General features: G+C 40.6%; 1 protein-coding gene across 5 annotated transcripts in view, besides 1 other annotated feature; it reads left to right on the forward strand.

Annotated features, from left to right (window-relative positions):
• PKD2 (polycystin 2, transient receptor potential cation channel) overlaps window positions 1-13,353 on the forward strand; it is a 70,143-nt gene that overhangs the window by 19,831 nt on the left and 36,959 nt on the right. For 3 of the 5 annotated variants that reach the window (NR_156488.2, NM_000297.4, NM_001440544.1), the window contains exons 3-4: window positions 8,755-8,888; window positions 10,786-11,036. Coding sequence is in view for 4 of the 5 variants with exons in the window: in NM_000297.4 (NP_000288.1) it covers window positions 8,755-8,888; window positions 10,786-11,036 (385 nt within the window). In the remaining variant the exon portion in view is untranslated. Of the gene's footprint in view, window positions 1-3,619; window positions 3,676-8,753; window positions 9,016-10,785; window positions 11,037-13,353 lie in introns of those variants that run through there. The other 2 variants (XM_011532029.2, XM_011532030.3) reach the window with 2 other exon arrangements.
• Window positions 5,852-6,146: a silencer, noted in NCBI's record as "tiled region #5607; HepG2 Repressive DNase unmatched - State 12:CtcfO". NCBI's record gives its function as "represses a minimal TATA promoter and a strong SV40 promoter by Sharpr-MPRA in HepG2 cells {active_cell/tissue: HepG2}" and the evidence as "EXISTENCE:reporter gene assay evidence [ECO:0000049][PMID:27701403]".

A 13,353-nucleotide genomic window follows, 5' to 3' on the forward strand; every position in this document is an offset into this window, starting at 1 on the left:
TGGAAGTAACTAACTTGCTTTTGATTTTACAGACTCAGGCAGAAGGGACTTGCCTTGTCTCAGATGAGACTTTGGACTTGAACTTTTGAGTTAATGTTGGAACGAATTAAGACATTGGGGTTCTGTTGGGAAGGCGTATTTGGTTTTGAAATGTGAGAAGGACATGAGATTTTGGAGGGGCCAGGGGTAGAATGATATGGTTTGACTCTGTGTCTCCACCCAAATCTCATCTCCAATTGTAATCCCCATGTGTCAAGGGAGGGACCTGATGGGAGGTGACTGAATCATAGGGGCAGTTTCCCCCATGCTGTTTGCATGATAGTGAGGGAGTTCTCATGAGATCTGGTTTTTTGGTAAGTGTCTGGGCTTCCCCCTTTTCCCTCTCTCTCCTACTGCCTTGTGAAGAAGGTACTTGCTTCTCCTTTGCCTTCTGCCATGATTGTAAGTTTCCTGAGGTCTCCCCAGCCATTCAGAACTGTGAGTCAATTAAACCTCTTCCTGCCTATTCTCAGGCAGTTCTTTATAGCAGTATGAAAATGGACTACTACAGAAAGTGTGTAACTTTAAACTCAGTAGTATCCAAAGAAGTAATGAAAATGGAGAAACGAACAACAAAATCATAGTACAATATGGTGTATGTACTAGGACAGGAAGAGCCCTTTTAAGAAGAGATCTATGTATTTCCATTTGTTTATCTCTGAAAGAAAGCAACTTTGCCTTGTATTCTGAAAAAGAAAGGAATATTTTATTTTACTTGTAAAAATCTTACAAGGATGCTAGTCTAAATATAGTTTTCCTAATTTGCCAGAGAATCCATGAAGATCGAGTTGATAACAAGATCAGTGAAGTAAAGGTCAGTGAGTTAATCTCACAGCAGCTGCAGGCTAATTCCATTTCCAGTGAAAAACGTCTTGATTGCTCACCACATATCTTTTCACCACAAACAGTTTCAGTCTTAAGATCACATGTTGCAATCCATGAGAAGTAACTATTAAGCCTTCAACTATGACTGGAGGGCTCCTCGCCCTTTCTGATAAATTGACTGGACAAAAACTCAATTTTAAAATGACAAGAAATAGAAGATGTATAAATGTACTTTAAATGTGACCAAAATGGGTTGTGAAAACACAAGACACAATATCCAAAAATGCTGGCAACACAGTACACTGTAGAGTATTGGTTGTTTATTTACCCTTGCTATTGTGTGGCTGAGCTTACTGCCACTGCCCAGCATTGCAAGGGCATCAAACTGCCTATCACTAGCCTAGGAAAAGATCAAAATTCAAAATTCTAAGTACAGTTTCTACTGAATGCTTATCACTTTTGCACCATTTTAAAGTAAAAAAATCAGTAAGTTGAACCATCATATATCCAAGATTGTCTGTATATAAATATTATACATCTTTCTCTCACTTTTAAAACAAAATAATACTAGCCAATACTACCATTCTCAAAAGCACTTGTGTCAACAGCCTTTACCCCTTAAAGATTTTCCTCACAATTTTAAAATTGTTACTTACTATTTTCTTTGAAATGTTGACCAAACCTGGATTAAAAGATTTGGGGGTTTTAGTGACTGTATTTCACAAACTCTCTTATTGATTCTGCAGCCTCACTTCTGCCTCCTAAAAAGCCCTCACCAAGGTCACGGGGGATGGCTCTTTTCAGCCTCTTCCTGGCATTTGGTCCAGTGGCATTTGGCATTCTAGGACTTCCCTCTTTGTCTTTGATAACTCCCTCTCTTCCTGTGTTCCTCCTTGCTGTGTTCACTTGCTTCGCTTTCTTCTTTCTGAAGCATGTTTACACAGTGTTTTCTCTGATTGGGCCTGTGACGTTCTTTAGGTCATCTTTTCCACAAATAATGCTTCAACTAGTACTTGCGTGCCAGTGACTCCACGTCCCACTCATGAGCTCTGAACCTAGTACCAGCTTCTGCTGGACATCTACAATGGGATCTCTCACAGGCCTCTCTCATTGGTAACATGCCCCAGCCTGAACTCATCTCCCACCCATCTATCCAGCCATGCTCTCTAGTTCACCTGAACACTTGGGTGTCATCCTAGATGCTTTCCCTTCCCAGTCTTCTGTGATCATTCTGCCTCATCAGAGGCTCTCTAATCTGTCTTCTTTCCTATATCGCTCTTGTCCCTATTTTAATCCTAATCATCTATTTCCTGACTTATTCATTCCTTAAGTTGGTCAGTAATTTAATTAAAAACAGATTTAGGCCCTGACCTTAAATGTGATAAGTGATATGAAAGGAGATGACTGGGGAAAAGGATTTCCCTCAAGGAAGGCCTCTGTGAAGCCTGAAGCAAGAATGAAAACGAGTCAGACGAAGAGAGAATTGTATGAATGAAGGCTCTGAGGCAGGAAAACACTCAGATCATTCCAGAATCACTTAGAAGCCAAGTGAAGCCAGTTCCTGGAGAGCAGATCATCAAATGAAGATGGAAAGGTGACCAGGGGCCAGACCTGTAGTTTTGGTGGGCCTTGGTGAGGGATTTACAGTAGGACACCCCATGGTTTAAGTATGAAAGTGACAAGATTCCTTTAAGTTTTAAGAGGCCTCGAAATATGAACCACAGATTAGATGGAAGCTACTCTCCCTGTGTCTGGACTTTTTAGAATTTCCAAGAGCTGCTGTTTCTGGAACCAGATTAATACAAGTCAGTCTTCCATTTATTTATTTATGTATTTATTTGAGACAGGGTCTCACTCTGTCACCCAGGCTGGGGTGCAGTGGCATGAACACAGCTCACTGCAGCTTGGGGGCTCAAGAGATCCTCCTGCCTCAGCCTCCCATGTAGTTGGGACCACAGGCACCTACCACCCAGCTAATTTTATTTGTTGTAGAAATGAGGTCTCATTTTGCTGCCCAGGCTGTTCTTGAACTCTTGGGCTCAAGCGATCCTCCTGCAACATCTTCCCAAAGTGCTGGGATCACTCTTCCATTTAACATGCTATCTCAACGTCAAGATAAACTTTAAAATCTTTAGATAATAGGCTGGCATTTTACTTAAACGATCTTTACTTCTTCAGAACTGCCATTCCCTATAAATATCTGGTTCTTCAACCACATCAAACCACTTGTGATCTCAAAAAGCCTCAGCGTACACTGTCCTTTCTGTCATTCTAATTCCTCCTCATCCTTCAAAATCAACTCAAGGACCAGATCCAGGGAGAAGCTTAGTGGTGCCCACCCGAACCGGCCCCCTCCTTCGAGTTGTGCTGCCATTCGGGCCCACCTCTTCACACAGGGTTGTCAGACCAGACCAGCTCATGCGTTCACCGCCCTTGCAGGGATGGGATGCAGCTGTGCACCTCTCAGTGCCGACACCTGGAGAGTCTCACGAAATGTTGACAACATGGCCTGTTTCCATTTCTTGTTCACTAGGACTTCTCATTTACTAACACACAGAATTTCCTGTAGTATGTCCACTTAATCAGTTCAAGCCTAATAATTCCTTGATTTGGGTATAGTGCTTTGCATTTATATACTGATGGTCCCCAACTTACGATGGTTCGATTTATGATTTTTCAACTTCATGGTGATGTGAAAGTGATACACATTCTATAGAAACCACACTTTCAATTTTGAATTTTGGTCTTTTTCCAGGCTACCATACTCTAAAGATAGAGCCACAGATCCCAGTCAGCCATGTGATTATGAGGGTAAGCGACCAATACTCTACAGTGTATTGTATTGCCAGATGGTTTTGCCCAACTAGCCTAATGTAAGTATTCTAAACATGTTTAAGGTAGGCCAGGCTAAGCTGTGTTGCTCATTCAGTAGGTTAGGTATATTAAATGCATTTTCAACTTATGATATTTTCAATTTACAATGAGTTTATCAGGATGTAACTCTACTATAAGTCAAGGATCATCTTGTATAGCACTTTTAATTTATAGAGTCCCTTCAAATGTTTGTTTGTATTTTATTTCCACTGCATCCCTGTGAGGATACCATAAGTTATACAGCTAACAAAACAGTTAGTTTTCCTGTGCAAAGTGATGGCTTCATCTTGTGGCAGATTACCTGGAATACTGTGGCCAAGGCATCTTAGTTCTACTGTCTTTATATATCTAGTACAGTTATATTTTTATGGCAGCTCTGATTTCTTCTTTGGCCCAAGGGTTATTAAGAGAGGGAAAAAATTTAATTTCTTAACAGATATATATATCTATGTCAAGTCATATATTTAATTCAAACCCTTAATATTCCTAGGTAATTTTTGTCTACTTTCTCTGTCAAAGATTGAAAGATACAGGGTTTTAAGTTTCCAACTGTAATTGTAGTTTTGGTAATTGTTTTATTACTAACAGGTATTGCTCTGTATATTTTGATGTTCTGTTATTCAATACATAAGAATTCATTACAGTTGAATCATCATGTATAGTATAATTTACCAATGTAAAATAACCTTTTTATCAAACTGAGTATTCACCTTATAATGTCCTCTGTCAGAGGATTATAATACCACTTAAAACCTTTTAAAAAATATTTTGTTCCTGATAATTTTAGCTTTGAGTGGTTTTCTTATAACAATTCTAGAGATGCGTTTTTATTTTTTAACCAAGATTTAAAGCTTTGTGATTTAGTAAGAGTCTAAACCATTCACAGTTCATGCTTTTTTGTCAAATTTCTATTATTTAGTATTTTCCTCTCTTTTATATTTTCCTGTTATTTTCCATTTCTATTCTTTTGTTAGACTGGAAATTTTTTCTTTGCTTTCTTTTATCCTAGTGATTTGAAATTTATGTAATATATACTATTCTACAATACCCTTTATTTGTTTTCAATATTTGAACCTATATTTTTCAACATTATTAAGAATAAAATAGTATTTGTTGCTATTTTGAAATGATAGACCATGTTTTTAAGGCAGGTTGGTGGTTGTTAAGGCACCAGTATCGGCCAGGCACGATGGCTCACACCTGTAATCTCAGCACTTTCGGAGGCCGAGGTGGGCAGATCGTTTGAGCCCAGCACTTTGGCCGATACTGTGGTTTACTGTATTTTGTTCTAGTTTATTTTATGGAAAATGGGAATTCAGTGGTTAAGACAAGGATTAAATAGCAGAAGAAAGATGTGTACATATGTACAGATGTATGTGTCCTTTATATGTTTTTTAGTACTCTTGTCTCCTTTCTGGTCCTCATTTAAGGTTATCTATTTCATGCAGTAAATTTTTCTTCACAATTCATTTCATTTAGAGAGTGAATGCTACCTTCCAAGTGGGCTTTCTCCAGTTTTCCTTTCAGGGACTTAAAGGAGAAGTGATGTTAACAGTTTTATATTTCCATTGCATTTTACAGTGTGCAGATGTCTTCACATATATTTCCCCATTTGAGCTTTACAAAAGCCCTTAGTATTATTCTCATTGTCTAGATTCCAAAATCAGGCTTAGAGGAGTTAAATAGTTGTCCAGGATCTCAAGATGCAAGACCCACAATCATGAACAGAGGCAGATGTTCAGGATGGAGGCAAGCTGAAACTCAAAACCAAATCATTATGACTCCAAATTCAGGAGTCTTTTAGCTGCCACCTGCATGGGCTCTTGGTGTAGCTGACCACCAGAGTTTGTAGAGCTGTCATTCAGGTGTGCCATGGACTTTCCTGGGACCTGGCACAGGAGAAGGACTGAGTTAATGTTTGCTGATTAAATATCTGTTACAGGCTGGGCGCGGTGGCTCACGACCGTAATCCCAGCACTTTGGGAGGCCGAGCAGGGAGGATCACTTGAGCTCACAAGTTTGAGACCAGCCTGGGCAGCATGGCGAAACCCCGTCTCTACAAAAAATTTGAAAATTAGCTGGCCATGGTGATGCATGCCTGTAGTCCCAGGTACTCAGGAAGCTGAGGTGGGAGGATCACATGAGCCCATGAGATTGAAGCTGCAGTGAGCTGAGATGGTGCCACTGCACTCCAGCCTTGGCCATAGAGCCAGACCTTATCTCAAAAAAAAAAAAAAAAAGTTACAATAATCTTCCCTTCAAAGCTGGAAGGCATTATTTACCTGTCTGTCCAGCAGATGGTGCTACATAACCAAGGGAATCTGTTGCTTGCCCTTGGTGAAGCTATTAAAGCCAATACAGATCTTGAGAATTTCAAAAGCAAAAATCAATACTGGATTATGAGTGCTCTAGGAAAATAAAGAGATAAATTTTCAATTTACATACTTATATATAGTTATACCATATTTGTAAATAAAAATATATAAATAATTTATCAAAATTCCTTTTTAACAGCAACAACCACAGTAAACCCACAGGTTAAAAACTCCACAACAGTCTATATTAATCAGTCAATGCAAAGTACATTCCAATTCCAAGTTAACTGAAAATAATCAACTTAATCATTTGGTTGGCTCTGAGCAGCCTTCACTGCTTGCTCTTGTGTCATGTTTCTTTCTGTCCTCGATTGGCTATAGACTTACAGACGGCTTTTGCAGAGGACAGTGTACTCATGTCCATCCTTTGCATCCTTTGTGGGAGTTGGCTAGGCAGCACTCTCCCTGGGGACACTATGAACTCCTCTTCTTGAGTGCAGAGATCACGTCTTGTTCATCTTCATGCCCAATACCTTGTTCCATAAATATGAATGGATTAGAATTCTAAACTCTTAACTCTGCCCCAAGACAGTTCTGAGAGGTAGTAAGTCATATAACACCTGAAGAGGACTGTTCTTGTCCTAATTACATTAGGTTATAAGATGACAGGTGAGGGAGCCAAACCAGGGGGCCTGGAAATTATTCATACATCTCTAGATACAGTATACAAGTTGTGTGTATTATGTGTATTTACTCTGTAATTGATTGCTTGAGATGAACCCCCAAACACACTCGTGTTTGGATCATTATTATCTACCCTTCTCCTTAAATAATCTTAATTTCCTATGATGCTTGAAAGGGAAAGAGGGGCCAGGTGTGGTGGTTCACACCTGTAATCCCAGCACTTTGGGAGGCTGAGGTGGGAGCATCACCTGAGGTCTGGAGTTCAAGACCAACCTGACCAACATGGTGAAACCCTGTCTCTACTAAAAATAAAAAATCAGCTGGGCATGGTAGCACATGCCTGTAATCCCAGCTACTTGGGAGGCTGAAGTGGGAGAATCGCTTGAACCTGGGAGGGGGAGGTTGCAGTGAGCCGAGATCACTCCATTGCACTCCAGACTGGGCAACAACAGTGAAACTCCGTCTCAAAAAAAAAAAAAAAAAAAAGGCAGAGTGGGGAAGAGAGCTGCATGAAGGAGAGATTTACTAAATAGTACTTAATCCCAAAATAATTTCTATAGGTTTGAATATGATCCCTGAAATTTATTATAGGTTCAGGTAAGTATTAATCACGGGTATTCAGAACTGTGGTTTAAAAAATGTATAGAACATGTTTCCTTCCCCTTGAAACTTTTTATCAGCTAATTATAGGAATTATATTATACCTGCAATCATTAAAGTCCAGAATGAGACAGTACTTGGTAAAGTGCTGAAATTTATAATAAATGCATTATAGCAATCCAGTTAAGGAGGAAGAGCCACCATTATTGAACATTTGTTAAGTGTCAGCCATTGTACTAGATAAATTTTAGTTATTATTTTTATTTAGGCACCAAAAAATCCATGGGATAGTTGGTTATCCCCATCTTACTGAAGAGGAAACTGAAGCTCAGAAAGTTTAAGCAACTTGCACAGGTCACATAGCAAGTAAGGAGCATGGCCAGGAATCAGACCCTGATCTCCTTTGGTCTACTAAGCTTGCAAAGGATCTTCCCGCCTCCTTCCAAGACCATTCAATATTATCAGTAAATGTCCATGGCAAGGATGTAGTTCGAGTTATAGGGTTCCATTCAAGATATGATTGGTAGGTGGGAAGCAGATATGTCTGTGTCAATCAGTATCCTGGAAGAAGGAGATGATGAACTCAAGTGGTGATTAAGGGAAGTTTAATGAAGGGACTATTTACAGAGATGTGGTGGGGTTAAGAGAACCAACAAGGGGAAGTGATGCACTCAAAAAGTTACTACCTCCAGGCTTTAGGGGATTGGGGGAGGGAGTGGCACAGTGTGAACCCAGTGTGGTTGTGAGAAAAGGGATTCCCTCAGCAGCCATGGCCAAGGTTAGAGTCTCCACTGCCAAACTGCATCCAGGTGGTGAGGGAATGGAGAATAGGGGTGGGGTAACAAACTCTGACCTCGGTATCCCCAAAGGGCAAAGGATTCCAGGTGGTACAGTTCGTAAAGATTAGCCTCAGGGCACAGAACAGGGCAGAGAAGAATGGAGAATTGATCTGGAGGAAACAAACAATGGCTTGCCCATGTTATTGCAGGGAGAGTAGGCTGGTGTGCACAGCAGGAGGGTGGGGAGCCCAGCATATAGCTGTGTTGGGGCCTGTGCAGATCAGCCTCACTGGCAGGGAGGATCTGAGCCGAGAGGTGGTGGAAGATGAAATCGAGTAGGCATGTTGGTAGTCCTAAATATCAAGTAAACGTTCCTGATCTTACATTGATACTCAATAGTAAGCCAATTTTGTTTCCCATAAGCCAATATTAATATTACGTATTTCTTTTATAAGCCAGAGATATAGAGAGATACCCTAGAAGAATGATAGGGGAAAGGAAGGCAAGGGTGAGAGAAGACCTTGTGTGAATTTGTCCAAAATGTTTATCCACAGGAACAATCCCTTTGTGAAGGCTGCTGGTATGTGAATGTGTGCCGGTTCCCTTGGGGCGTTCATTTGGATCTTTCTGTGTTCCAGTGACCTACGGCATGATGAGCTCCAATGTGTACTACTACACCCGGATGATGTCACAGCTCTTCCTAGACACCCCCGTGTCCAAAACGGAGAAAACTAACTTTAAAACTCTGTCTTCCATGGAAGACTTCTGGAAGGTATTTGCAAATAACTTTGAAAGTACCTCTCTATCACAGAAAATTGTTCATTTGGCTTCATCATTTCAATGCATGAGTATCGACAGGACCTGCTTTGCATTTAACACTGTGTGAGACGTAAGTTATGGTGAGTTGTTAGAAGTTACTGTTCCTACTCTCAAAGGGGGTAAACTAACATTGAGAACTTTGCCTGTGCCTTGCACTGTGCTGAGTGTTTCATATCTTACCTTATTTAATTTCTATAGTCTAACTCTATAAGGTAAGTACTAAGACTATGCCCTAGTTTGTTAATGAGGAAAATGAGATTCAGGATGTTTAAATGCGTATGGTCACATGGCTAGGGAACAAGAAAAATTGATTTTTTTCTAGCCTGACAGCTACTTCATCCTAGTTTGTAATTCATTCCATGAGTCAAGATTCAATAAATATTTATTGAGAATCTCCTAGAATGTAAGGCCAATGAAGGGCAGTGTGGTTCTTCTGTCTTGCTTCGCCTTTTGTGTTTTGTCTCTTTGTTGATGATGGCATGTATCCCCAGCTCTTAGAACAGTGCTTGATTCAAAGTAAGCACATTCTTTCAAAGGTCTGCTGTTGGTGGGGCTTGGTGGCTCACGCCTGTAATCCCAGCACTTTGGGAGGCCAAGGCAGGAGGATTGCTTTAGCCCAGGATTTTGAAACCAGCTGGGCACAACATAGTATGACTTTGTCTCTCCAAAAAAGTTAAAGAATTAGCAGGGTGTGGTGGTACACACCTGCAGTCCCAGCTACTCAGGAGGCTGAGGTGGGAGAATCACTTGAGCGATTGCTTGAGGTCAAGGCTGCAGTGAGCCATGGCCATGCTACTGCATTCCAGCTGGGGCAACAGAGTGAGACCCTTTCTCAAAAAAAATCCCCCCCAAAAAAAAACCCAAAAACAAACAAAAAAGGTCTGCTGTTGTGAAGTTCAACCCAATCCAGCCCCTTCCCAAGTTGTCACAAATTCCAACGTAGTTAACAGTATACCAATGAGTGATACCACAGGAAAAATATTAAACTGATCTGAGGGATATGGGGCTTGGAATCTAAGAAAATTGGAAGGGAAATTGAAAAGGAAATTATTATTTCTCCTTGGGGAGATAGTTTCTAAAATTCTTACTACACCCTGGGGTCAGAGCTGTTGATTTTAAGGATAGAGACAACTGAGTCACAGGAAACTATTCATATATAAAAGTACCTGGCATCCAAAACCACACTTGTATAATATGAATCTTTCACCATCTGAGTAGGGCAAATCAGTCTATCTCTGTTGATCATCTGACAAGGATAGCACACTGAGAAATAGATCTGTCTTCCCTACAGGCATAGCTAGTTGTACAAACTAACAAGAGACTTTTGTATACACATTCCATGATGATAAATGCCAATCACTAAAGGGACGAGGAGGGATTGGAGAGTTCACCATACAGCAAAATAGTCCAGACAGGTGAAAGGTCTATCAAATGCCAGGCTGGTAATCAAAACTGTAGCCTTTTCTCTAAACAAAGTTTAGAACCATGATTGTGTGGGACATTATTTTAATAAGGGAAAGTGCAGTTAATCATGACCCCACCTTTAGTCCAAGAACAAAAATCAGAGCTGCCACGTATTAAGTACCCACTCTGTGCCAGGTGCAGTAACTATGCAAAAGATGGGTTTTCCAGATGCAAGAACCTTGGTTCAGAGGACCCTGCTCAAGGCCTCATAGCTAACAAATGATGGGGCAAGATGCTATCCCAAATCTCTCTGACAACAAAACTCATTCTTATCACTCTACTATTTTCATAGAGTTGCCAAATGCTTGGTTATGCAAACGATGCAGGCAGGGGCAAGACAGCGGCTGAGCTTGGAACTTTTTCAGAGATGTTTCCTTTGCTTTTAGTTCACAGAAGGCTCCTTATTGGATGGGCTGTACTGGAAGATGCAGCCCAGCAACCAGACTGAAGCTGACAACCGAAGTTTCATCTTCTATGAGAACCTGCTGTTAGGGGTTCCACGAATACGGCAACTCCGAGTCAGAAATGGATCCTGCTCTATCCCCCAGGACTTGAGAGATGAAATTAAAGAGTGCTATGATGTCTACTCTGTCAGTAGTGAAGATAGGGCTCCCTTTGGGCCCCGAAATGGAACCGCGTAAGTGTCTGTGACTCATTGCCACTCGGTGATATTCATTCATTTATTCTCTGAACTCCCACCATTCATTCATTCATTCCCTGACACCTTCACCAAGGCAAAAATAAGTTCAGTGACTCTTCAGTGCTTATATTTAAACCTTGGCCAACTTGACCTTTGACTTCTTAAGTTTTCACTACTTCTTAGCCTTCTTTTAGTTTCTACATGCATATTTTTCAGAAGACTAAATCGTTGACCATATAACCCCTCAAAAATTAATTATCTGAGCGTTTGAAAATTTCATTTAAGATGCCCTGGGCCCTGTTTTTACAGGTGCAGTAACATCATCCACTAAGTTATTTAACACAAGTTTTCTGGTTCAGGAACTCTTTTTATAGGTCTTGCAAACAGGTTTTTGTTCAGAATGGAGTTATTTAATGTGTAAGCTTGTGAGGCAATTTTTTGTTAGGTTTAAAGCCCATTTTGTTCAAATGTTTGAGATTTTAGGTATATATTTGTACACGTGCATATTTACAGGGGCTTTTTGTACACTTTGGTACTCCTACTTCAAACATCTTGTGTATTAAGGGAGGTCACTTACTATTTTAGAAGTATTGTAGTTATTATAAAGAAACAAGAAGACCTCCAAGGCCGTTTCAGGGTGGGCCTTTGCGGTTGCTGTCCCTGGGTACGTCACTGGTCGGAGTCATCTTCTAAGCTTTGCTCAGCTAATTCTGTCGGTTCATCTAGGTTCTTTTCTTGGAAACTGAGTTGCCCAGAATCCACATTTGTTACTATACAATGGGCAATCACCTTTTCAATTAGTATATTCTTCTTGTACCTTCCAGTATACACTCTATTTAATACCAGAACCCATAAGAAACAAATTTAGTAAAAATCCAGGTTGGGCACAGTTTCTCATGCCTGTAATCCCAGCACTTTGGAAAGCCAAGGCGGACAGATCACTTGAGGTCAGGAGTTCAAGACCAGCCTAGCCAACATGGTGAAACCCTGACTCTACTAAAAATACAAAAATTAGCTGGGTGTGGTGACATGTGCCTATAGTCACAGCTATTCGGGAGGCTGAGGCAGGAGAATTGCTTGAGCCCGAGTGGTGGGGGTTGCAGTGAGCTGAGGTCTCATCATTGCACTCCAGCCTGGGCAACAGAGCAAGACTCCCCCTCAAAAAAAAAAAAAAACAAATTTAGTGAAAATCCAGAGCTTTAGAACAAAGGAACTAAATAGTCTCAAAGGACATTATCATCCAAGTTATGATAGTGATTTCGCTTTCTTTAAAAAAAAAATTATTACAGATAGAGTTTCTTGATGTTGCCCAGGCTGGCCTCAAACTCCTGGGCTCAAGCAGTCCTCCAGCCTCAGCCTCCCAAGTAGCTGGGACTATGAGAATATGCCACCATGCCCAGCTTTATTTTGCTTTCTAATGTGCCTTTTTGTAGTTCCTGCAAAGCATAAGCATGCCTTCATCTGTGGTACCCTTTCCAATATTTTATTTATCTCACATCACTAATAAGATAAATTTATACAGCCACTGCTCTGTGCCAGACATTATTTAAGAAGTTATTTCACGCATTATCTCATCTGCCTTCACAAAACAACTCTAAAATAGGTATCACCTCCATTTTATAGATGAAAAAACTGAGGCTCACTTGCCCAAAGTGTCACAGCTAACAAATTGGACTGAACCAAGATTTAAGCAGCCTGACTCCAAAACCCATGTTTCGCCTACTAAACCTCTTCCATATTAATTCCTCCTCCATATTAATTGCGTCGTTAGGGTGGCTTGTCGACGCTCTCAGCTCCCCATCAGTACTCAAGCTTCCTGAGGGCAGGGATTCTATTTTGTTAACTGCTGTATTCTCAAAGCCTTGAACAATGCCTCATATGTAAAGATACTAATAAATATGTGCTGGATGCATTCGAGTGATTTCTACTCCAGGGTGGATTGCCAAAGGGGACCTTCCCTGTCATATCTAAACTATCCTTTTATTCTTCTACATTCTCAAGTCACTCCCATTTCTTCTTCCCTTCAACTCCAAACTTCTTGGAAGAATAGTCTTCATTTGCCACTTCCATTTCCTTACCATCAATTCACGTCTTAAAGCTTAGGTTCTTGCTTTTGACATCTCACCAGGAAGCTACTAGGGACCTCTAGTTAGCAAATCCACTGAACAAATCTCAGTTTTTATCCCCTTCATACTGTCTGCAGAAAGTGGCAGTGTTGACCGCTCATTCTTTTGACTTCCATGAAGAACTCTACACTTTGGGTTCTTTTAACTCTGAAACCCCTTTCTCTCACTTCTCTTATTCCCAGGTTCTA

The sequence above is a fragment of the Homo sapiens genome, chromosome 4, assembly GCF_000001405.40.
Source record: "Homo sapiens chromosome 4, GRCh38.p14 Primary Assembly".
Lineage (NCBI taxonomy): Eukaryota > Metazoa > Chordata > Mammalia > Primates > Hominidae > Homo > Homo sapiens.